The 24,838-nt window shown below is 48.5% G+C and overlaps 1 protein-coding gene and 1 long non-coding RNA gene across 3 annotated transcripts in view, besides 4 other annotated features; one reads left to right on the top strand and one right to left on the bottom strand.

Annotated features, from left to right (window-relative positions):
- Positions 1–4,915: 4,915 nt before the first annotated feature.
- LOC105376808 (uncharacterized) lies at positions 4,916–8,206 on the bottom strand. The gene is made up of 3 exons (XR_947005.2): positions 7,929–8,206; positions 5,739–5,987; positions 4,916–5,211 (listed from the first exon to the last, which is right to left on the bottom strand). It is a non-coding gene; the product is annotated as an uncharacterized LOC105376808 (long non-coding RNA).
- Positions 17,797–17,886: a silencer, noted in NCBI's record as "silent region_341". NCBI's record gives its function as "represses an Ori minimal core promoter by ATAC-STARR-seq in GM12878 lymphoblastoid cells {active_cell/tissue: GM12878}" and the evidence as "EXISTENCE:reporter gene assay evidence [ECO:0000049][PMID:35858748]".
- Positions 21,695–21,878: a silencer, noted in NCBI's record as "fragment chr1:17448488-17448671 (GRCh37/hg19 assembly coordinates)". NCBI's record gives its function as "represses an EF-1alpha promoter that drives an FKBP-Casp9 reporter gene in an ReSE screen in K562 erythroleukemia cells {active_cell/tissue: K562}" and the evidence as "EXISTENCE:reporter gene assay evidence [ECO:0000049][PMID:32094911]".
- Positions 23,295–23,829: an enhancer, noted in NCBI's record as "H3K4me1 hESC enhancer chr1:17446537-17447071 (GRCh37/hg19 assembly coordinates)". NCBI's record gives its function as "activates a minimal SCP1, AML or CMV promoter by ChIP-STARR-seq in primed H9 embryonic stem cells {active_cell/tissue: H9 hESC(primed)}" and the evidence as "EXISTENCE:reporter gene assay evidence [ECO:0000049][PMID:30033119]".
- Positions 24,401–24,610: a silencer, noted in NCBI's record as "silent region_340". NCBI's record gives its function as "represses an Ori minimal core promoter by ATAC-STARR-seq in GM12878 lymphoblastoid cells {active_cell/tissue: GM12878}" and the evidence as "EXISTENCE:reporter gene assay evidence [ECO:0000049][PMID:35858748]".
- Positions 24,420–24,838, top strand: part of PADI2 (peptidyl arginine deiminase 2) — a 52,691-nt gene continuing 52,272 nt past the window's right edge. For both annotated transcript variants that reach the window (NM_007365.3, XM_047442975.1), the window contains exon 1: positions 24,420–24,591. In NM_007365.3, the coding sequence (NP_031391.2) occupies positions 24,500–24,591 (92 nt within the window). In that variant the 5' untranslated portion in view covers positions 24,420–24,499. The remainder of the gene's footprint in view (positions 24,592–24,838) is intronic.

The following is a 24,838-nucleotide window of genomic DNA, read 5'->3' as shown; positions in this document are numbered from 1 at the left end:
CGTCTCTTCAAAATGTCACCTCTCATTCTCTCCTCCACCCACTCTAACAAAGCATTCATCCCAACACTCAACTAAGACCTCCAGGCCATCAAATCCAATGGTCACTCCTCTGTCCCCATCTTACTGGCCCTCTTGGCAGCTTTGGACACAGTTGTCCTCCCTCCTTCTTGAAGCATCTTCTTTCCTTGGCTTCCATGACACCACACTGTCTCGGCTCCTCCTCTAAGTGTAGAAGGGGCCTAGGGTCTGGTCCTAGCCCCCTTCGCTTCCCTATTTACATGAAAGAAAAAATATGGATGGCCAGTACACATTGAAAATTGTGCTCAGCTCCAATTATAACCAAAGAAATGCCCACTAAGACAAATGAGATCTACTTTTAATCTAACACGATAGCAAAGATTCAAAAGATTAATTATACTCAGTATTGGCATAGATATAGAGAAACAAACACTCTCATTTGCCATTGGTGAGAAGATAAGTAGTACCATCTTTTTTTAGAAGGCTTTTTCTCAATATTGATCAAGAGACATATAAAATAGAATGATCAATCCTATACTTTGTTTTAATCTTTTCTATTGACATAATTTCAGACTTACAGAAAAACTGCAACAATAATACAAAGAATTCCCAGATACCCTACCCATCATCCACATCACCTAGATTCCCCAAATATCATCTTACTACACTAGGATTCTCCCTCTCCCTCTCTCTCTGTTTCTCTCTCTCTTCCCAAAATATATATATATACACTCACACATGTATGTATCTGTGTGTGTATATATACACATATGGATATATGTACATACATACACATACATATGGATATATGTACATATGTATGCATACATACGTATATGTGTGTATATATACACACATGTGCATATATAATAGTTTTATACTTTTATACTACATATGTATATATTTTTCTGAACCACTTAGTGGCAAATTGCAGGCATGATATTCTTTACCATAAATACTTGAGTGTATATTTCCTAAAAGTATGGAATTATCTTAGATAACCAAAGTACAAGAATCAAAGTCAGGAATTAACACTGATACAATACTACTATCTAATCCACAGATCTCCTTGGGATCTCACCAATTGTCAACATGGTGCCCGTTTTAGCAAAAGTAAATCCAATATCATATATTGCCTCCAATCATTATGTCTCTGTAGTTTCTTTTAATGTGGAACAGTTCCTCAGTTGTCTGTTTCATGACTTTGTCATTTTTGGAATCCAGGCAAGTTATTTTATAGAATGTCCCTGAGTTTGAGTTTGGTAGATTCATTCTGGCATAAACACTTTTGTCTTACTCTTCCCTCTGCCTGGAATATTGGTTTCTTGGCTTTTCAAGCTGCTTTCTTCTCCTCCTCCTTTGAGTCTCCCTTCAAATATCACCCCTTCCAAAGAGCCTTCCTACTAAATAGAATTACAGTCAATTCTCAGAAAAAAAAAATTGGCCAAATGATCAAGAAATGTGATGTTTTAGACCAGGGGTCGGCAACTACCGTGAATGAACTAAGAATGGTTTTTACATTTTTTTTTAATGGTTGGAGAAAAAAAACTGAAAGAAGAAAATCTTGTGACATTCTCATGAAAATTAAATGAAATTCAGTTTTAGTGTCCACAAATAAAGTTTTATGGGGACACAGCCAGGCCCGTGTGTTACATTTATCTGGGCTGCTTTCCTGCTACAATGGCAGAGCTCAGTAGTAGGCACCGAGAGTCACTGCTCTCATCTCTTTGTGTGGCTGCTCAGCACACTACGAACCACATGCCACAGCTCCAAGTCGACAGCATGCACATCGCTGTGGGGCAGTATTTTCTTTTTTTATAACCAGTGCATACACGTCATGTCAAAACAAGAAGAGTGGACTTCCAATGTTGTACTTTTTAAAAATACATGATAATCATGTGGCAAAATACACGCAACATAAAATTTACCATCTTCTCTATTTTTAACTAGATAGCTCAGCAGCGTTCGGTACATTCACGTCATTGTGCAACCATCAATGCCATCCGTCTCCAGAACTCTTTTCATTTTGAAAAACTGAAACCCTTTACCCATTAAACAAGAACTCCCCATTCTCCCCTCTCCTCCAGCCCCAGGCAACTACCATTCCACTGTCAAAAAATAACATTTCAATGAATTGAGTTGACTCATTGGCTTTTATTATTGATTCATTAATTAGGCAGCATCCCATTGATGAAATAGAAAAAGACATCCCAATGAGAAGAGGGGGTTGTCTTTGGGGGCACAAAGTGGCAGAAGGGGAACAGAAACAAGGAACAAAGAGTAGACTGGGCATTTCAAAGTTACTTTTCTTGTAGGATGAAAGCAGAGGGGACTTCCTTATCACATCAGCTCAGGTTGACTGGGACCTTCTCTGCTGGTTGCTGTAAATCTGTTTGTTTTTTTTAAAGCTGACTGTTTTAAGGGTCAGTTTGATTACGTGGCACCTAACATGAGTGACTCCACTCTGGGGTCTAGTACAGGAGCTTAGTCCAAAACAATGGCCTCCAGTAAATTTTATTTCACCCTACTTTCTGTCTCTATGATTTTGACTAGTCTAAGTACCTCATAGAAGTAGAATTCTATGATATCTATCCTTTGGTGACTGGCTTATTTCATTGAGCATGATGTCCTCAAGGTTCATCTACATCATACCATGTGTCAGAATTCCCTTCCTTCCTTTCTTTTTTTTTTTTTTTTGAGATAGAGTCTCGCTCTGCCCCCCAGGCTGGAGTGCAATGACACAATCTCGGCTCACTGCAACCTCCGCCTGCCAGGTTCATACGATTCTCGTGCCTCAGCCTCCGAAGTAGCTGGGGTTACAGGTGTGTGACACCACACCCAGCTAATTTTCTGTCTTTTTTTTTAGTAGAGATGGGGTTTCACCATGTTGGCCAGGCTGGTGTCAAACTCCTGGCCTCATGTGATCCACCCGCCTCAGCCTCCTGAAGTGTTGGCCACTGCTTCCAGCCATTCCTTCCTTTTTAAGGCTGAATAATATTCTATGTATGCATATACCACATTTTGTTTATCTATTTATCCATCAATGGTGGAGTGTCACATTTTTAAGGCCCAGCGAAGTGTGCATTATTTTGTTATCCAGTTAGATAGCAAGACATTGTGCTTATTAGGCAATGACACTGCATCTGTGCCAAAAGATTTTAATACATGTCTCGCTCCATAATATCTAAAATATTTACTCTCTGGCTGTTTATAGAAAAAGTTGGCCAACCCAATTCTTGTTTTACCCTGGCTTCATAGCAGTCATGGAACTGGACCTGTAGTCCCACTTAGTTGCATGCCAACAAATACCAACTCAAATGCTCAAACTTTTATCTGAAACTTTGTGTGGGCTTCCCTGCAAATGCACTTGACTGTTTCCTCCCAGCTTTTCCCGTTCAAACCTGACTCAGAACCACCCCTAACCCCCATCTCCACCCACAAGCCAGGCCTGTTGCTATGGTTTGAATATTTGTCTCTTCCAAAACTCATGTTGAAATTTAATCCCCAATGTGGCTGTACTGAGAGGTGGGGCCCTTAAGAGGTGATTGGGTCATGAGGGCTCTGCCCTTATGAATGGGTTAATCCAGTCATGGATTAGTGAATTAATGGGTTAATAGGTAACCCATCAATTGATCCATTAAGTGATCATGGGAGAGGAACTGGTGGCTTTATAAGAAAAGCAAGAGAGGGCTGAGCTAGCCTGTGAGCACTCAGCTTCTTCACCAGCTGATGTCCTGCACCACTATGGGACTCTGCAGAGAGTCATCAGCAGCAAGAAGGACCTCACCAGATGCAGCCCCTTGGCAATGGACGTCTCAGCCTCCATAACTGTAAGAAATAAATTCCTTTCTTTGTAAATTATCCAGATTCAGGTATTCTGTTATAAGAAACAGAAAACAGACTAAGACACCTGTCCTTTCTTGCCCAAACAGTCTTTCTGTAAATACTTCCTGATGCCTCTTCTGTACCCAGCCCTTGGGAAGTTGACATGAGAGGCAGGGTGATACTTATGCACCCAGACCTGTCCCCCTGCCTTCCCCACCCACATGCTCAGCACCTTCCTGAAATTAATCATAGAATCTTCAGATTACATGATCTGAAGTGCTCAGACTCTGCAGAAGGTGTGAATTATACAAGCTCTGAGCTTTTAAGTTCTCTTAAGCTTTTTGTTTCTTTTTCTTTTTTTCCTTTTTATTTATTTATTTATTTATTTATTTATTTATTTGAGATAGAGTCTCACTCCCTCTGTTGCCCAGGCTGGAGTGCAGTGACATGACCTTGGCTCACTGCAACCTCCACCTCCCCGGTTCAAACGACTCACATGCCTCAACCTCCCAAGTAGGTGGGACTACAGCCATGTGCCACCATGCCTGGCTAATTTTTGTTTTTTTAGTAGAGATGGGTTTTCACTATGTTGGCCAGCCTGGTCTTGAACTCCTGGCCTCAAGTGATCCACCCGCCTCAGCCTCCCAAAGTGCTGGGATTACAGGCGTGAGCCACCGCACCCAGCTCTCCTAAGTCTTTTAGTATAAGTTTAGAATGGAAGAAATGCAGGAACTTAGGCCCTGAAAATGTTAGAATTAGGGAATCTTAGGGTGCTAAATTGTTAAAATATAAAAACCATTAAAATGGTGGAGTTATTTAACCAGAATGTGTTAAACTTGCAGATTCTTAGAACCATGGAAAATCAGAATGTCCTGGGTGGAGGGGATCTTCTAGAAGCCAGGAACACATGTCCTATCTGGGGCACAAATCCCTTCTGACCCCCAGCAGCCTTCTTCTCCCTGCCTGATTCCCGTCCAAGGGTCTTATTGCTCAGGCATGCTCTGAGCTTCCTAGCTGCTGCGACCTTGTCTTCTGGCCACTGGCTGCTGCCCAAGGTGCTTCACAGCCCAGCCCTATTTTCCTTCCACCCTCTCCATCCACTCCTTAAAGACACCAGAAGCCAGACCTGTCTTCCTGCCTTGCTCCCGTGGTCTCCTCTGCCCAGCTTGCCCTTCCCTTCACTCCTCACCTCCCCACCTCTCCCTGTTGAGAGGCTAGCCCCTTGTCAAGGGTCTCCCCAAACATCACCTGCACAGGGATGTGCTCCTGTGTTCCTGAGTGGCTGTCACAGCCCTCCTTTATCCTCATGCCTACAAATCACCTCATGTCTGCAAATCCCTTCAAGTCTTAGAGCCTCAGTCTCAGCTTCTGTCAAATGAGAAGAAGAAAAGTACGCCCCTCAACGGGTTGTTGTGGGAATGAAATTCGGTAACACAGAAAATACTTAGCCCAGGGCCTGACACAGGAGAGGTGCTCAGCCAACATGAGCTAAAGACCTCAGGAGGCATGCTGGCTCCAGAGCCCTGGCTGGTTGCACCAGATCAGGGCATCCATGGGCAAATGCAGAACCAACTGAATGAGCTGTTGAGCCTCAGCCCAGGAAGAAGGGAAGTGTGCACCTGGCAGGGAGGTGCCCATCCAGGACGAATCCCTGAAAGAGGATGGATTGCTTCTGCCAGGAACTATTTGGATGATGGAGGAAGATGAGGGTGAGATGTGGGGAGGGGTCAGCACGTGATTTCATCCCAGCACTGGAGTAAGAGACACATGGTGGTGGGCGGAGTCAATCATCAAGCCAGTGTCAGTCATTGAGCCCATTGAGGGGTTAAGAGCTTTGTCCTGAAAGTCAAGAAAGGAAAACAAGGAAAAGAACCATGCATTTGTTGAGCACTTACTGTTTGCCTGGTGCTGTGCTAAACACTTGACGTGTTCTGGTTTGGTTCACACCAAAGCTAGCATCGGGACTGAAAGTGTAACAGAAGAGCCAGGTAGACCGGGTTCGAATTCCAGCTCTACCTTGTGCTGGCTGTGTGACCTTGGGCAGGTCGCTTCCCCTCTCTGAGCCTCAGTTTCCTCATCTGTAACGTAGGGTAGCAAAGGAAAAAACTTTTCCTTCTGTCCTTCTAGGTTCTTGATTGGAGCCCCTGTAATAAAAAACAGATTAACAAGGAAAAAGCACACAAATTTATTTAATATAAATTTTACATGACACAGGAGACTTCATAAGAAAATGAAGACCCACAGAAGCGGTTCGAGCTAAGCCTTTTTTTGCTGGGTTGGATGAAGGGTGGGGAGTCATGGGAAAATGTGAAGGACAGAAGAATTTGAGCTAAGGGCAGTGAACTGGGAACACCCAGCAGGGTGGCTTGTTTGGATTCCTCTCGGCATTCCTGTCCCTCTATCTTCAGAGGTGAAGATGCTTCTTTCCTCCAGGTACAGGGAGGGCTCCTCTCACCTGAAGGTCTTGTGATCTGCTTCAGAGGAAAGCTCGGAGAGTCCTTCCTGCACCCGCCGTTTCTCAAATTCTTTCAGTTTCAAATATTCAATATCCAAAGCACCATATTTTGGGGTAGTACATTCTGAATCCTCTCAACAGGGATAATAATATTAGGCTAAACCAGGTAAATTTGTCAACATTTGACTCTTTGGACCTATAATAATGGCAGTTTCACACAGATCTGTCCTGGAAAGTTTTGGGGAGAATTACAGTAATTAATCCATCTAATCTCCTTAGCTCAGTGTCTGGCACATAGTAAGTGCTCCATAGGCAGTAGCTCTTCTTATTTATTTATAGTCCTCATCCTCATGTAATAGATTTTAAAAACTGATGCTCAGAGAGGTTAGGTAACTTGTGCAAGGCCAGCCAGCTGGCAGGCGGCCGAGCAAGGGTTCAAACCCAGATGTGACTGGGCGCTGTGGCTCGCGCCTGTAATCCCAACACTTTGGGAGGCCAAGGTGGGTGGATCACTTGAGGTCAGGAGTACTTGACCAGCCTGGCCAAAATAGTGAAACCCCGTCTCTACTAAAAAAATACAAAAACTAGCTAGGCGTGGAGGCGCTCATCTGTAATCCCAGCTACTCAGGAGGCTGAGGCATGAGAATCGCTTGAATCTGGGAGGAGGAGGTTGCAGTGAGCCGAGATCACACCACTGCACTCCAGCCTGGGCAACAGAGTGAGACTCCATCTCAAAAAAAGAGAAAAAAAAAAGACTAAATGCAAGCCCAGTGCCCCAATCTCCTTTCTGGAGGGGAGCTTCATCTCTGCAGGGCAGGCAGGGTACAGTGCCGAGTCTGTGCAGCTCAGGCCCGCCTTCCCCTGCTGCCTACCAGATCCTGAGGGTTGGGGCTCGTGTTACCCTATTTCCATTAACCATTGGCTGGGTCCCCCTTCCCCTCCAGATCCCTTGCTTCAGGGCCCTGACCCACAGCCACCTGAGAGGCACGTGACAATGGTGAGTGCTGGGTTGCCCTGGGAGAGGATGGAGGGGTCACTCTGAAGATCCCCACAGGTGGTGGAAGGATGACATGAGATTGGGGTCAGAGTCAGAGCCGGCTACAAGCTTTTCTACAGACTCAGCTTCCTTTCCAGGCACAAAGAACGTGACTCTGCCTGTGCGTGGGAGACTGGGAGAGTGAGCACGTGCGCGTGTGTGCGTATATCTGTGCCTATGCATACTAGGTGTGTGGGTGTATGCACCTGTGTGAGGATGGGTGGATGCAGGGGGACTGGGAGGAGGAGAGTGAGGTATGCGTGCATAGGCGTGCCTGTGTGTGCATGAGGACCTTGATGGGGATGCACCCCTCTCGTGTATATTTCATGCGTGTGTTGGTGTTGTATGCGGATTGTATGGGGCTACCGCTGGCAGCTTAGTGGAACATCTGGGGCACAGATTCTGGAGCGGAAAGCCTAGTCTGCACCCTGGCTCTTCAGCTTGCTGGCAAAGGGTACCAGCCACCCTAAAATAGGCCACTTTGGCACATGGATTATTTTGAGCTAAAGGCCGTTGAGAACCAGCCACCACAGGAAAAGCTCCTTATCTCCTCCTAACTGCCTAAAAATTGAGTGCAGACAATCCCCAACTTACCATGGTCCAATTTGGGGTTTTTCGGCTGTGATGTTGCATTCAGTACACTCCTGGACTTACAATGGGTTAACTCAGAATAAACCCATCATAAATGGAAAATATTGTAAGTCGAAAAGGCACCATCATAAGTCATGGAGCAGCTGTACAAATAGACCCTTTTGTAAGGGAAATTTCCACGTGTAAAGATGTCTCATACGTGGGAGAGAGCTGCTCCTGGGGAGCCCTGCTGTCACCTGAGGCTTTTCTCTGCAGAACAAGATAACTCTTATTTACCTACATCTCCTCCTGACCCCTTCCCAGAACAGCCCTCCCCAGCCCAGAAACTCAAAACCCCTTTTCCTTTGTTGATATTTAAACCCCAGTCCCACCCACCCCTTTGGTTACTGATCGCTGGGTGCTCTCATGTGTATACACAATGCACTTATTAATGAACTTCGGTTTGTTTTTCTCTTGTTCATCTGTCTTTTTCGAGTCTCCCTTATGGGGCCCCAGCCAGAAAGCCTAAGGTGGGTGGAGGAAAAGGATCATTTCCTCGCTCATGCCATAGGGGAGGCAAGCTCTCCTAGAGGGGTGCTAGCCACCCCAAAATATGTCTCTTCGGCACATAGACTATTTTGAGCTAAAGGCCATTGAGAACCAGCACAAGGTGCTGGAGAAAGGCCACAAAGAGTATGTCAGGGAGGCCACCAGGAGCTCATACTTCCTGGAGCTCAACAGGCTTGAGGCAGGACATGCTGTGTGTGGGAATTGTGTGGGGGTGGGCGGGGGGTTGGGAAGGATGGAGGAAGAGATTGTGTGTGCATGGAGGAGGTGCATGGGTGTGTGAGTGTGTGCACAGGTGTTCTGTGAGTAGGTGTAGGGGGCTGTGTGTGTGTATGTGCATGTGGGTGGGGCTGCACAGGTGTGTGGCTGTGCAAAGAGATGTTCTATGAGTAGGTGTAGGAGTGTGTGTGTGCGTGTGCATCTGTGTGTGCATGTGGGTGCATGGCGTGTGGGTGAGTGCACAGGTGTGTGGGTAGATAGGAGTGTGTGTGTGCGCGTGCGCATGCGGGGGTGCTCAGGTGTATGGGTGTGTGTGTGCACAGGTGTGTGGGTAGGTAGGGATGTGTGTATGTGTGAGAGTGTGTGTACATGTGGGGGGTACAGAGGTGTGTAAGTGTGTGTGCACAGGTGTTGTGTGGGTAGGTAGGGGTGTGTGCATATGTGTGTGTGCATGCGGGGGTGCACAGGTGTGTGGGTAGGTAGGGATGTGTGTGTGTGCATGTGGGGGTGCACAGGTGTGTGGGCGTGTGTGCACAGGTGTTGTGTAGGTAGCCCCCAAGGGGTGTGTGTGTGTGTGTGTGCATGCATACATGTGTGTCTGGGCCGGGTGAGAGTGTCGGCACATCTGTGCACGCAGTCAGCTCCATCAAGGCTGAGGTTGAGGCTCTGACCCCTCACAGGACCTCTGGGAATCCAGGCCTTGCTGCCAGTCCTCAGCTGCAGGCCAGGCATCCACCGCAAGCCCTGGCTGGGGAGCAAGGTGAGAAAAAAGAGAAATTTTGTATCTGAGGAATGTGAGCCCCTTTAAACGATCAGGCCCAGAGAGGCACTGAAATGTGACAGCAGCCATGTCTCTCTCCTGCCTTGAGCTAAATAATGACTTCTTGAAGCCACTTGCTATGTGGACTGACTGACACCAGGCAGCCATAAAATGCCATCTGGACACCATACTTCATACCCTATCATTCAACAATGCACAGCCAATCACAGCTCAATGTCATCTCTGCAACCCAGTGAGAATGCCTGTCAAACAACTGTATCTGCTTCAAAAACCTGCTCGTAATGAAGGCTGGACGGAGCACTCCCCAAGGCATCTTAGAAGTGTGTCCTGGGTGGCCGGGTGCAGTGGCTCACACCTGTAATCCCAGCACTTTGGGAGGCTGAGGCGGGTGTATCGCGAGGTCAGGAGATCGAGACCATCCTGGCTAACACGGTGAAACCCCGTCTCTACTAAAAATACAAAAAAAAATTAGCCGGGCATGGTCGTGGGTGCCTATAGTCCCAGCTACTCGGGAGGCTGAGGCAGGAGAATGGCATGAACCCAGGAGGCAGAGCTTGCAGTGAGCGGAGATCGTGCCACTGCACTCCAGCCTGGGTGACAGAGCAAGACTTCATCTAAAAAAAAAAAAAAAAAGAAGTGTGTCCTGGGCTGCTGTCCTCAACCTTGGCCCAAATAAACTCTCTATATTAATTTTGCCTCAGTTTCTTTATTTCAGTCAACAAAAGGTGACTCCATGCAGCTCAGCCCCACAGGAGACCCCGGGGCCCCTGCTTGGAGCCCGTGAGAGCCTGTGAGGGCAGGAGGTCGCCCTCCTGATGCCAAGGGAGGACACATTTCTGCAGCCCACCTGTGTGACCTTTGTGTCCTCTCTTGGACCTCCAGAAGCCATGCCCTGAGTGGGCACTGGGATTCCACAGGACTCAGGGACGCACTCCACTTGGCTGTGGGGCCATCTCAACCTCAGGACGGTGGGGCAGACAGAGTGTCAGGGCTCAGAGGCACCGCAGAGCCTCCCGGGCCAGGGTCTGCACTGGTCCCAACCACACACAGTAAGACACTGGAAAAACCAACTCAACAAATGTGTCCAGGTTGTACCTCTATGGGGTAAAACCCAGTCAGAGCCCAGGCAGCCTCAAGAAGAAAATTCAGTGTTGAACTCAGTAAAGACTCACTCTGATGTCTTCATAGATCGCCAAGGACAACCCCCCCAAAAAGGGAGGACCAGTCTGAGCCAGAAATGCCCCAGGGGGACACATGCCCTCCAGAGGCAGCTGGCTTCTCAGTCACATCCCTGACCTTGGGAAGAGCCTAAACCTGCCTCCCTGTAGCACTCCCTCTGCACCAGCTGCTAAACAGGGACCTCTCTCAGGTTCTGAAATCATTCATTCATTCACAGAGTACCTACCATGAGCTGGGTCCTTCACAGGGCACCAAGAACATAGCAATGAACATGACAGAGACAGACTGAACCCTCGTGGGCTTATGGGGTATTTGGGGAGAATGTGGAACAGGCAATCATTGACATAAGTAAGGTTGCCAGATAAACAACAGAGAGCTCAGTCAAATGTGCATCTTGAAGAAACGATGAATGTCCCATGCAATATTTTGAACCTGGAAAAATTATTTGGTGTTTACCTGAAATTCAGATGTAACTGGGTGCCTCATGTTTTTCTTTGCCTACATAAGATATTTTCAGCTGGTGACATAGTCTGAGGAAAATAATCGAGGCTAGAGAGTGAAGGAGTGGCCAGAGAAGCCAAAACCTGAATGGAAAAGAGGCCCCCACCCCGGAGTCCACCTCCACTCCCCCAGCTCATTATCAGTAAAGAGTGTGGAACTCACTCATTACCACGAGGAGGGCACCAAGCCCTTCTTTTCTTTTTTTTCTTTTTTTTGAGACAGGGTCTCTGTCACCCAGGCTGGAATGCAGTGGTGTGATCATAACTCACTACAGCGTCGATCTCCTGGGCTCAAGCAATCCTCCTGCCTCAGCCTCCAGGGTAGGTGGGCCTACAGCACAGGTGTGCACCACCCAATTTCTTTAGCTGAGTCCTGGTTGCTTAAGCTGTGACTCACTGTCCCCATAAAAACCTTAGAAATGTCCCCAGGAACCAAAGTGAGGAGATTCCATTGGATGTCATTTAAATACCTGTAGCAGAGTGGTCCCCAAGAGATAAAAAGTCTTTGAACAGAATCCAGAATAGAATCAAGCAGTAAAACCATCTGCTGGCGCCATGCTTCTGGTGAGGGCTTCAAGAAACTTCTAATCATGGCAGAATCAAGAAGCTTCCAATCATGGCAGAAGGCGAATGGGAGCGGGCATGTCACATGGCAATAGAGTGAGAACTACTCATGACCACAAGGAGGGCACAAATCCCTTCATAAGGGATCTGTCCCCATGACCCAAACACCTCCCACTAGCCCCCACTTCCAACACTGGGGATCGCATTTCCACATGAGATTTGGAAGGAACAAATATTCAAACTGGATCATTGTGCCCCTGGACCCCAAATCTCATGTCCTTCTTATATTGCAAAATACAATCACCCCTTCCCAATAGTTCCCAAAAGTCTTAACTTGTTCTACTGCCAACTCAAAAGTCCAAAGTTCCATCTAAGACACAAGGCAAGTTTCTACCACCTATGATCCTATAAAATGAAAACCAAGTTATTTACTTCTAAGATACAATGTGGTACTTGCATTGGGTAAAGATTCCCATTCCAAAAGGCAAAACGTGGCGAAAACAGAGGGGAACAGGCCACTTTGGGAGGCCAAGGCGGGCAGATCACCTGAGGTCAGGAGTTCGAGACCAGCCTGACCAACATGGAGAAACCCCGTCTCTACTAAAAAAAAAAAATTCAAAAATTAGCCGGGCATGGTGGCGCATGCCTGTAATCCCAGCTGCTCAGGAGGCTGAGGTAGGAGAATTGCTTGAACCCAGGAGGTGGAGGTTGCAGTGAGCCAAGATTGTGCCACTGCACTCCAGCATGGGCAAAAAGAGCGAAACTCCATCTCAAAAAAAAAAAAAAAAAGAAAGGGGAACGGCCACATACAAGTCCAAAACCCAGCAAGGCAGACATTAAATCTTAAAACTCCAAAATAATCCCCTTGACTCCATATCCTACATCCAGGGCACTCTGCCACAAGGAGTGGGCTCACAAGGCCTTGGGCAGCCCCAGCCCCATGGCTTTGCTGGGTGGGCACAGCCCACGTAGCTGCTATCACAGGTTGGAGTTGAGCTTTTCCAGGCTGAGGGTGCAAGCTGCCAGTGGCTCTACCATTCTGGAGTCTGGAGGGCAGTGGCCCCATTCTCCCAGCTGTGCTAGGCAGTGCCCTTGTGGGTACTCTCTGTGGGGGCTCCAACCCCACATTTCCCCTCACCATTGCCTTAGTAGAGTCTGTCTTCTGGGGCTCCATCCCAGCGCCATATTTCTTTTTGTCTTTTTTTTTTTTTTTTGAGACGGAGTCTCACTCTGTCACCCAGGCTGGAGAGCAGTGGCACAATCTCGGCTCACTGCAACCTCCACCTCCCAGGTTCAAGCAATTCTCCTGCCTCAGACTCCTGAGTAGCTGGAATTACAGGCACCCACCACCACACCTGGCTAATTTTTGTATTTTTAGTAGAGATGGGGTTTCACCATGTTGGCCAGGCTGCTCTCAAACTCCCGACCTCAGGTGATCCACCCACCTCGGCCTCCCAAAGTGCTGGGACTACAGGCGTGAGCCACTGCACCCTGCCAATGCTTCTTTTCATTTTTATTTTTTTCTTGCTTTTAGTATTTTGCCAAGGCTGGGTCATCCAGGCATTACGCTTCTTATACAGCTTGCAGGACTATGAGCTGAATAAACCTCTTTTCCTTATCAATTACCCAGCCTCAGGCATTCCTTATAATGCAAAGTGGACTAAAACACCAATTGAAACCAAACAAGTGGTGAAGCTACCTGGGAGGGTATTACTTAGCCCCAGATCTGACTTAAGAAATAGGAAATGCATATGCTGAACCCTGGGGACACAGACTATGCCACCACCCTTTTTAGGTTATGGGAAATCCTGTTTAAATGACTAACAATAGGACTTGTGTCCTATCAAGACCTTGGACAAAACCTCCATCCAAGCCTGAAGTTTCCGTGGACATTAAGGAATCTTAGAGGAGGTAGGAACCCCAAAAATGGGTTGGAAAACTAAGCTCGAAATTTTCTTGGTGTGACAACATCATTGCCTTAGTAGGCTCTCATTTTTTAAGCTTGACAAGAATTGAGCAAAGAAATGTTTCAGAGAATCAAACAATTTCAACTTTGGAATTTGAAATATTTTTAATATTTAAGAGAATATGGGCTATGTTAAGCTTGTCCAACCCTTGGCCAGTGGCTTTGAATGCAGCTGTAGCTTTAAATGCGGCCCAACACAAATTCGTAAACTTTCTTAAAACATTAAGAGATTTTTTTTCAATTCTTTTTTTTTTTTTTTTTTTTTTTTAGCTCATCAGCTATCATTAGTGTTAGTGTATTTTATGTGTGGCCCAAGACAATTCTTCTCCTTCCAGCGTGGCCCAGGGAAGCCAAAAGATTGCACACCCCAGTCTGTGTGAATAAAAAGTCAGTCTTAAGGTTTTAATTTAAATACACAAATGAGGCCGGGCACAGTGGCTCACGCCTATAATCCCAGCACTTTGGGAGGCCGAGGTGGGCGTATCGCCTGAAGTCAGGAGTTGGAGACCAGCCTGGCCAACATGGTGAAATCCTGTCTCTACTAAAAATACAAAAATTAGCCAGGCGTGGTAGTGGATGCCTGTAATCCCAGCTACTTGGGAGGCTGACAAAGGAGAATCGCTTGAATCTGGGAGATGGAGGTTGCAATGAGACGAGATCATGCCACTGCACTCCAGTCTGGGCGACAGAGCAAGACTCCGTCTCAAAAATAAAGTAAAATGCACAAATGAATCATTGATTGATTTAGACTTGTGATATTTTAAGTTGAAATTTTACTATGCTTGACAGAAGTGTTAAAAAGTTATAAAAATTTGAATTCATGATAAGCATAAGTTACCAGATTTCTAAGAATAATTTAAGTGCTTGAGAAAGTTGTGTTTGTTATTAAGGCAACTGAAGTATTTTTAAAAGAAATTGAATATGTTAAATCTATACATGCAGTTAAAAATGTTTAACTGTGTGTCAACCTGAAATAACCAGGAGCGTCAGAGTCTAATTTAAAAAGAGTTTAGGCCAGGCACAGTGGCTCACGCCAATAATTCCAGCACTTTGGGAAGCTGTGTGGATCCCTTGAGTCCAGGACTTCGAGACCAGCCTGGGCAACGTAGTGGGACACCGTCTCTACAAAAAATTTTAAAAATCAGCCATGTGTGGTGGCCCACACCTGTAGTCCCAGCTACTGAGGCTGAGGTGGGAGGATCACTTGAGCCCAGAAGGTTGAGGCTGCAGTGAACTGTGATTGTGCCACTGCACTCCAGCCTGGGCAACAGAGCGAGACCCTGTCTCAAAAAATAATAATAAAAAAAAATGTAAAATACACCAAAGTAAAATAAAATAGAGTTTATTCAAGCACAAGATTTGAGAACGGCCACCCAGAAACCTCAACTCCAAAGTAATGAACTCAGCATTCCGAAGTAGGGAAGTGAAGTTTTCATTTATAGAGGCAGGGACAGAGGAATTTTTAGCCAGATAACAACATTTTTCATACTAGGCTGGCGCATAGTTACAGCCATTTGACTGGTTATGGGCAGTGTTTCTTTTGGCGGAGGGCATATTTCACATTTTTTGTGAAGGGTATGATAGCTATGCGTTTCCTGTCATCTGTTCTACGCAGAGCAGGACAACAAAGGGGAAGTAGATGAGTCACAGGGTCATTAATTAAGAAGGCAGGAGGGTTTTGTCCCTGCTGTTCTTTAATTCTCTCTGGTCATTGTACAGAATAAGAAAAATAAGAAAGTGAGTTAATCTACAATCTGAGGAATAAAAGGCACATGACTCAGATCCCAGTCACAGCTCTCTCAAGGCTGAAGTGTGTCGGGGGTTCTGACAGATTTTAAATTATATTTTCATGCATGTTTAATTAGCCAAGATTGTCAATGGAACCAAATATTCAGTTGTATCATTTTAATAATTTTATAATAATTTTTAAAGTTTTTTTTTCTTTTTGAGACAGAGTCTCGCTCTGTCGCCCAGGCTGGAGTGCAGTGGTGCAATCTCCGCTCACTGAAACCTCTGCCTCCCGGATTCAAGTGACTCTCCTGCCTCAGCCTCCCAAGTAGCTGGGATTACAGTCATGCGCCACCATGCCCAGCTAATTTTTGTATTTTTAGTAGAGACAGAGTTTCACCATATTGGCCAGGCTGGTCTTGAACTCCTGACCTCAGGTGATCCACCTGCCTCGGCCTCCCAAACTGCTGGGATTACAGGCATGAGCCACCATGCCTGGCCCACTAAAGTTGTTATATTTTAAAAGAATACTTTTCCTAAATTTTTTCTTAAATTTTTAATCGTGGTAAAATATACATACCATACAATGTGCCATGTAAGCTATTTGTAAGTGTTCAGTTCAGCAGAGTGTTAGGTACGTTCACATTGTTAAATGCAGCCAATCTCCAAGACTCTTTTCATCTTGCAAAACTAGAATTCTACGCCCACTAAACGACAATTTGCCATTCCCCTCTCTCTTCAGCCCCCAGGGCAACCTCCTTTCTACTTTCTGTCCCTGTGAATCTGACTATTGTAGGTACCTCATTGAAGTGGAATCATATAGGCCAGGCACAGTGGCTCATGCCTGTAATCCCAGCACTTTGGGAGGCTGAGGTGGGAGGATTGCTTGAGCCTAGGAGTTCAAGACCAGCCTGGGCAACATAGTGAGACCCCATCTCTAGCAAATAAAAGAAAAAAGTGGAATTTGTCCTTAAGAGAAGATTTTTAACTTGAACTCAAAGCTAAAGTGGGATTGTTGAATTTGAAATGACAGTAAGTGGAATAATAATTTTTGAAAACCAAAGGAGATCCTTTTTTTTTTTTTTTTTGAGACAGGGTCTCACTCTGTCACCCAGGCTGGAGTGCAGTGGCCGACCTCGGCTCACTGCAACCTCTACCTCCCAGGCTCAAGCAATCTTCCCACCTCAGCCTCCGGAGTAGCTGGGACCACAGGCACACGCCAACACGCCTGGTTAATTTTTTTGCATTTTTGGTAGAGACGGGGTTTCACCATATTGCCCACGCTGGCCTCCAACTCCTGAGCTCAAGCGATCTGCCTGCCTCCGCCTCGACCTCCCAAAATAGTGAGATTACAGACATAAGCCACCGTACCCAGCCTACTATCTTTTTTTTTTTTTTTTTTGAGACAGAGTCTCGCTCTGTTGCCCAGGCTGGAGTGCAGTGGCATGATCTTGGCTCACTGCAGGCTCCCGGGTTCACACCATTCTCCTGCCTCAGCCTCCCTAGTAGCTGGGACTACCGGCGCCCGCCACCACGCTCAGCTAATTTTTTTTTGTATTTTTAGTAGAGACGGGGTTTCACCGTGTTAGCCAGGATGGTCTCGATCTCCTCACCTCATGATCCGCCCACCTCGGCCTCCCAAAGTGCTGGGATTACAGGCGTGAGCCACTGCGCCCAGCCCATTATCTTGTTTAAACCTCACAACCACCTGGGAAGGAGGTGCCATGATTAACCCCCATTTCACAGATGAGAAAACTGAGACTCAAGTGAGATGACTTGTCCAAGGTCTCCTAAGCCAGGAAGGGCTAGGATGTCAATCCAGGTGGACTGATTCTCGAGATGGAAAATGTGACCACATCATGGGGTATGGCAGAAATGATTATAGCGCCTTCTTCCAATGTGGTTGTAAATGACTGCGTGATGTTCTTCCTACACAAGGGTGTGTGTGTGTGCATGTGTGTGCATGCGTGCGTGTGTGTGTGCACGTGTATGTGCGTGTGTGCATGTTGTGTGTGTGCATGTGTTTGTGAGCATCCGTGCATGTTTTTTGCTCCTGCTAGGTTGCTCATAAGGATGGACCTGTGTCCCCACTCCCACCCGCACAGCACCTGACTCTGTGATTTGTTTATCAAGTGATTTTTAAAACGAATCAACGACCCAGGCTCACAGGACAAAGGCACTGAGGTAACAGGACAGGCCTGAAGGATGAGACACAAAAGACCTCCCTCTTTTACCAACTGGCTCTGCGCCCTTCGGCCGGTCACTGCCCCTCTCTGGGCCCCTCTCATCCTTCTCTGAGCTTCAGTCGCCCCTTTGTCCAGCGAGAAGTTCCCACTCTAAGGGACCTGCCACTGACCTCACACAAAGGTGGCCCCTGAATTCTGACCCAAACCACCAGGAAAAAGAGGGTCCCAAAAGCTAAAGGAAGGTGCTGAGCAGGGTGGGACAGAGGCGGAGGCATTCTGATCTCTCGGGCTCAGGCCGGCCAGCGCCGCCTCCCTGCTTCCAAGATGGGGATCTGGCGCCACCTTGTGGTCTCCGCCTCTTGCGGCCTTCGCGTGTTCCCTGTTTTAACTCTTGCTATTAACCCCACTGCTGCCCTCTGGGAACTCTGAAGCAATTCCACTCTCTTCACCAAATATTTATCTACTGTGCCCAGCTGTACCCAGGCTCGACCCAGAAAAATCATGAACAAGTCCCTGCCTAACCATTTAGAGGCGTCTGGATCTGCACCACCCATAGAAAAATGATGCAAACCAGCCGGGCGTAGTGGCTCACGCCTGTAATCCCAGCACTTTGGAAGGCCGAGGTGGGCAGATTACTTGAGGTCAGGAGTTCGAGACCAGCCTGGCCAACATGGTGAAACCCTGTCTCTACTAAAAATACAAAAATCAGCCGGGCATGGTGGCGCGTGCCTGTGGTCCCAGCTACTCCAGAGGCTGAGGCATGAGAATCACTTAAACCCAGGAGGCGGAGGTTGCAGTGAGAAAAGCTCATGCCACTGCATTCCAGCCTGGGTGACAGGGCAAGACTCTGTCTCAAAAAAAAAAAAAAAAAAAAGGAAGAAAGAAAAATAAAAATGATGGCAACCACAAATGTGTGCCTCACAGGTAACCACATTTTCTAGTAGCCACATTTTTAAAAGCTGAAATAAATAGGTACAATTAACTTTAACAATACGTCTTTGGGCTTTTTGATGTTTGTTTGTTTGAGACAGAGTCTTGCTCTGTCGCCCCAGCTGGCATGCAGTGGCACGGTCACTGCTCACTTGCAGCCTCAACCTCGTGGGCTCAAGAGATTCCCCCAACCTTGGCCTCCCAAGTAGCTGGGAGTACAGGGGGTGCATCACCATGCCTGGCTAATTTTTAAATTTTTTTGTAGAGACAGGGTCTTGCTATGTTGCCCAGGCTCATCTCAAACTCCTGAATGTTAGTGATCCTCCCTCCTCAGCCTCCCAAAGTGTTGGGATTACAGGCTTGAGCCACCACATCCAGCTAATAATACATTTGCATTTAATGAAATACATTCACCATATTATCATTCCAACATGGAGTCAATTATTTTTAAAATTACCATCTTTTTCTCCTTGTAACTCCTTGAAATCTGTATTTTACACCAGGGGTCCCCAACCCCCAGGCTATGGACCATTACCAGTCTGTGGTCTGTTGGGAACCAGGCACACCGCAGGAGGTGAGCATTGGGCTAGCAAGGGAAGTTTTGTCTTTAGATTCCCATAGGAGCACAAATGCTATTGTGAACTGCGCAGGTGAGAGATCTAGGCTGTGAGCTCCTGATGAGAATCTAATGCCTGATGACCTGTCACTGTCTCCCATCACCCCCAGATGGGACCATCTAGTTGCAGGAAAACAAGCTCAGGGCCCCCACTGATTCTACATTACGGTGAATTGTAAAATTGTTTCCTTATGTATTACAATGTGATGATAGAAATAAAGTGCACAAGAAATGTAATGCGCTTGAATCATCCCGAAACCATCCCCACCCCCATCCATGGAAAGCCTGTCTTCCACAAAACAGGTCCCTGGTGCCAAAAAGGTTGGGGACCACTGTTTTACACCTACAGCATGTGTCAGTTCAGATTAGCCACATAAACCTTGTCTGGCAGTGGCTACATGTTGGAAAGCATGGGTCTAGGACCTCCCAGGCTTACTCTGGCCCCCTGGCAGCCCCTCAGACAACTGGCTTATTACATCTTCTCCAGAATTCACCTTTCTAGCTTTGCTTCACTGACTAAGGGTAGAACCCTGGCCCGGACAAGTCATCTTACCCTTGGATGTATAAAATAAGGGTAAGAAAAATACTTACTTCTGGGGTTGTAGCAAGGATTCAATGGGATAACATACACACAGTGCTTAGCGCAGGTGCCTGGCAGGGAATAAATGCTCCATAAATGGTGACCTAATGAATGAAAGCCTTAGCCCATCTTTCAGCATGGTGATGGTTAATTTTCTGTGTCGATTTGGCCAGGCTATGGCACCCCATCATCCAGTCAAACATCAGTCTGGATGTTGCTGTGAAGATATTTTTCAGATGTGATCAACGTTTAAATCAGTAGACTTTGAGTAAAGTAGATTGCACTCCAAAATGTGGGTGGGCCTCATCCAATCAGTTGAAGGCCTTAACAACAAAGACTGAGGTTTCCCAAAGAGGAGGCAATTCAGCCTCCAGAATGCAACATAGAAACCGTGCTGTTTCCAACCTGTAGATTTCAGACTCAAGACCGCAACATCAATTCTTCTCCCATTTCTGACTGGCCAGCTCTACAAATTTCAGGCTTGTCAGCCCCCACAACCATGTGAGCCAATTTCTTAAAATAAATCTCTCTCTCTGCATATATAAATGTACCCCCGAGTGGGGTACAGCCACAGCAGCACGCAGAAGAGACATGACTTCCTCATTCTGAACTCACGCAGTATTAGAACAATGGAGCACCCCAGCCCTTCCCCGCCTCTGAGCACGATGTCTCTCAGGACCGAGAGCTGAGGCAGAGGCTGAATCAACGCCCCCATCCCAGAGACTCTTCTCAAGGGAGTGAGACCAAAGGGTGGGCTTTGCCAGGGGAAAGGGAATGTGACGGGGCCAGGCAGGGCCAGGGTTATGGGGATCTGCTCTTGAGGGTATGACTGCAGGTCCCCATGGTGCAGAGTCAGGGGTTGGGGCGATCCCTGGCCACAGAAGGATTGCTTTGGGGATCCATGGCCCAGACCCCGACCTCTTCCTTTCTCTGGTCTCCTGCCAGAATTCCTGTCAAATTTAGCTGCCTACAGCAGCCAGAGTGATTTTCCTAAAGTGTACATCGTGCCGTTGACACCTTCCAAAGTCCTTCCCAGGCTTCCCCCATGACCCCATAAAGATAAAGCCCCAAAGCCTTTTCCACGACTTACAATGCTCTGTGTGACCTGGCCACAGCCAGCCCAGCCTCTCACATTGTGGAAGCTTTGAAGTATGTTATCAAACAGCATGTAGTCAGAAGCCCATGTTTACAAAAACTTAAAATAACTATATACGCATAGGAAATAACTACCGTCTACTGGAACTTGGGTCTGTGCCAGGCCACGATGTGCAGTACCTTACTGGATATCATCTTGTTATTCCTTGTTCCTTATAACAATTCCTAGTATCTCCTTTATAGAAGAAGAAACTGAGGCCCAGAGAGGCCCCCAGCTAGTGAGGGGCAGAGCCAGACTTGACCCCAGGTCCACCAAGACCAAAGTCCATGCTCTTCACTGCAGGCTGGTTGGTGCCTCTGTGCAGATGGAAGATAATAATAGCTCTCACCTCACAGGGCTGTCGTGAGGATTAAACAGGCTGAGATGTGTGTGTGAATGGGCTCTGAACAGCTCCTGGCATGGCGCAAGGGCTCAGGAAGTGTGCTGCCCCACAGCAGCCTGTGGGCAGCCCGGCCAGATCATACTCATAGATTCAGACTGATCTCTGGTACTAGGGTCATGGGTGATCATATTTTTTTTAACTTTTCCACAATGACCAGGTAATACTTGTGCATTTTTTTCTTTCTTTTTAAATTATTGTATGTATAGTGCTCTCAGTAAGCTGTCTGTTTCCTCAAAGCAGGCTTGTCGAAGTTTGAGTGGCCTCCCTGGTTCCCCCAAGGCCTGGCCCGGAGACCCCACACCCAGTGGAGGAACCTAACAGAAAACAGCTCAGAAGAGCCCCTCTTAGCCCAGGCACCCTGCCCACAGGCTTGGCAGGGGCGCTTGCTGGAGGGGTGGGTGCGGGTCTGTGCCAGGAACTGGCCTAAGCTAAGTCCCCAAAAGACACCGTGAGATGCTTTGTGGCTCTTCCGGATCCCAGGGGAGAGGTGGGAGCAGCCGTGATGCATGCGACCTCCGGCCCTGAATCCACCAACAGCTGTGACTACTTCAGCTATTTTAAACCTCTGGGCACCAGGAAACTCCTGTCTCATCAACCAGGCTCTGGGCCCAACATGATGGCCTGAGCCCGGGCAGGAGTCCTGAGTGTGGGTGGCCAGGTCTGAATTGGGTTTTTAAGGGGAGGGGGCTTCATTTCTTGAGCCTTGTGCCAGGCTCTGTGCTAGTATTTTCTGCACCTTGTTGTCTCGTTTAATACCGTCCTTACACCGTGCTGAGGGATCAGTTACTTCACAGAGGCAGAAAATGGGGCTCCGAATGGCAGGGTACCTGGCCCAAGGCGGCACAAAAGCAGAGCTGGGCCTAGAACTGCGACTTCCTTATCTACAAAGCATGGACAGCATTCTGCCCCTGCCCTCACTCGGCCTTGCCCCCTGCCTCCACCCCAGTGGCCCTGCAAGCTCCTCCCTCTGCCACTCTTAGGAGCTCTGCAACCCAGAGTCAATTCCCCCACCTCCTCACAGCTCACTTTCTTCATCTGTAAAGTGGCGGAGTTACTGGGAGGGTTCAGTGATCTAACTCTAATACATGAAAAGAGCCGCTTGGAACAGTGCCTGACCCACAGAAAGAAAGCAGTAAGTGCCCGCTCTTACTCCAGCTCCCCTGGGTATTGCGGTCTGATGTTATCACTATCTTGCCCAGTGTCCTGTTATGAGCTGCCCGGGGTCTCCGTCAGTGGGGGGTACAGTGTCCTCCCCCACTCTGGCCCCAGTCTCCCCATGAGTCAAATGAAAGTTAGAGCCCCAGGAAGGTGAGAACCCTGGTGGGTGCCCGTTATCTGTCACACAGTAAGGGCTCCAAAGTCACTCGTGGCAGAGGGGTGCCCAGACACGAGCTCACCTCTGGGGGCGCCTCGAAGTCTCTCCAAGCTACACAAGTTTTGTCCCAGTTTGGCAGGTGGCCACCCGAGAGATTCCTCCTGATTGGAGGATGTGCTCAGCCGGGTGCCTGGAGTTCATCAGAAGTTACTGGCCTCGGCCGGGCGCTGTGGCTCACGCCTGTAATCCTAGCACTTTGGGAGGCCGAGGCAGGTAGATCACCTGAGATCAGGAGTTCAAAACCAGCCTGGCCAACATGGAGAAACCCCGTCTCTACTAAAAATACAAAATTAGCTGGGTGTGGTGGTGCCTGCCTGTAATCCCAGCTACTTGGGAGGCTGAGGCAGGAGAATCAATTAAACCTGGGAGGCGGAGGTTGCAATGAGCTGAGATGGCGCCATTGTACTCCAGCCTGGGTAACAAGAGGAAAACTCTGTCTCAAAAAAAAAAAAAAAAAACAGTTACTGGCCTCTCCCTGGGTCTGTGAGCTGTGCCTTTGGGGGACAAATGACCTCCTGGCTAAAACTCGGGCCTTCCCTCTTCCCCACTCACATTCCTCCCAAATCCCTGCCACTCAGAAGCAGCTGGGCTCTTCACCACCTCCTAATTTGGGCCGCCTCAGGGAGAAGGTTGGAGTCCAAGGGCTGGGTATATCAGCACTGGGCACTTGTGGGCCTCACCCCTCTTGTCTGGGGGCACCCGTTCCTGGAGCTCCATCTTCCATCAGCTCTAACTCCTTCCCAAACACACATCCCCTCCGCCCCACTCCTTCCCTCCCACGGCCTCTGCCCACCCCCCCTCAGTTTCTGTCCTCACCTACCAAAGACCACTTCCTCACACAGGGCTGATGTATGTGTCTGAACAGCACTCCCACTGGGTCCCAGGGGAAGGGCTGGGACATGGGAGGGGCTGGCCGAGGCCCACACTGATTGTCATCCTACATCTCAGCCTCTGTGAGACACACGATGACCTCTGGGTGGCACCCCCCTTCCCTTGGTGGCCCAGGCCAGAACCGGGGCCCTAATCCTTACCCCTCTCCTCTCCCTCCACCCACACATCCTATCAGTCACCAGGTGCCACCAAAATCCCAGTCCCTAAGCAGTGGCCGGGTCAGTCCCCACCTCTCCAGCTCTGGCCACAGCCAGGGGCTTCCTTGCCCCTCCCCAGCCCAGAATGACCCATTTCACGAGCACACCCGACCACGGCTCGCGGAGACAACCACTCCAGGCTCCCATCTCCCACCCTCCAATGCCTTGGCTTGGCGTCCTGGTCTCCCTCAGCTGCCGGGTTCCCCATCCCCACCGCTTCCCGTTTTCTCTATGGTGAGGTTCATCTGACTGTTGGGGGATGGGGGTACCGGGCTGCACCCGGCTTTGCACAGGCAGCTCCCTCTCCTCGCCTTTAATTTGCAAACGCCTCCTTTAAGAAGGTTCCAGGATCGTCTTCTCTGGGAAGGCTTCCTGGCCCCCAGGCTGGGTTAGGGCACCCTCTTTGTGTTCCCACATTTGCATTTTCAGCCCCACTGGGCTGGGGCGTCCGGAGGGGAGCTAGGGCCCTCCAACACCTGGGCGCCCACCGAAGGTTTGTCGAATGAAAGAATGACAATCCAACCATGGAAAGCACAAAACTGGTCCCTGATGACTTCGCCACGACCTCAGCGGGGCGGGACGAGTTAGGGGCGGGACCACGCTTGACGGACAGGCCCGCAGCCCACTGCGAGAGGACTGGGGCGGGCCGCCCCGCCCACCGGCCGCTGGATAAGGCTGCGCGCGGGGCCGTGGGGCGCAGGCTGCTGGAGAAGGCGCACCTGCTGCAGGTGCTCCCGGCCGCCCCGGACCAGCGAGCGCGGGCACTGCGGCGGGGAGGATGCTGCGCGAGCGGACCGTGCGGCTGCAGTACGGGAGCCGCGTGGAGGCGGTGTACGTGCTGGGCACCTACCTCTGGACCGATGTCTACAGGTGAGCCGGCCCACCGTGATGCCCGGGCCGAGATCTCGAGCCCAGAAATCCTGAGACGCGCTCAGACTCGGGGACGTGGACAGCCTTTGTCCAGCCCGAGTTGTCCCTCATCCCGAGCCCCCGAGCCCAGAAATCCTAAGAATCTCATCCAGAAACCTGACAACCCCCGAACCTTGTGTCCACCTTCCAGAAACCCTGAGACTCTCCCAGACCCCCTAACACAGCCTCAGCCCCAGCTCCCTCACAG

The sequence above is a fragment of the Homo sapiens genome, chromosome 1 (genome assembly GCF_000001405.40).
Source record: "Homo sapiens chromosome 1, GRCh38.p14 Primary Assembly".
In the NCBI taxonomy this organism is placed as follows: Eukaryota; Metazoa; Chordata; class Mammalia; order Primates; family Hominidae; genus Homo; species Homo sapiens.
Note: the sequence above shows the minus strand (reverse complement) of the source record. Positions and strands in the feature narration are given on the sequence as shown.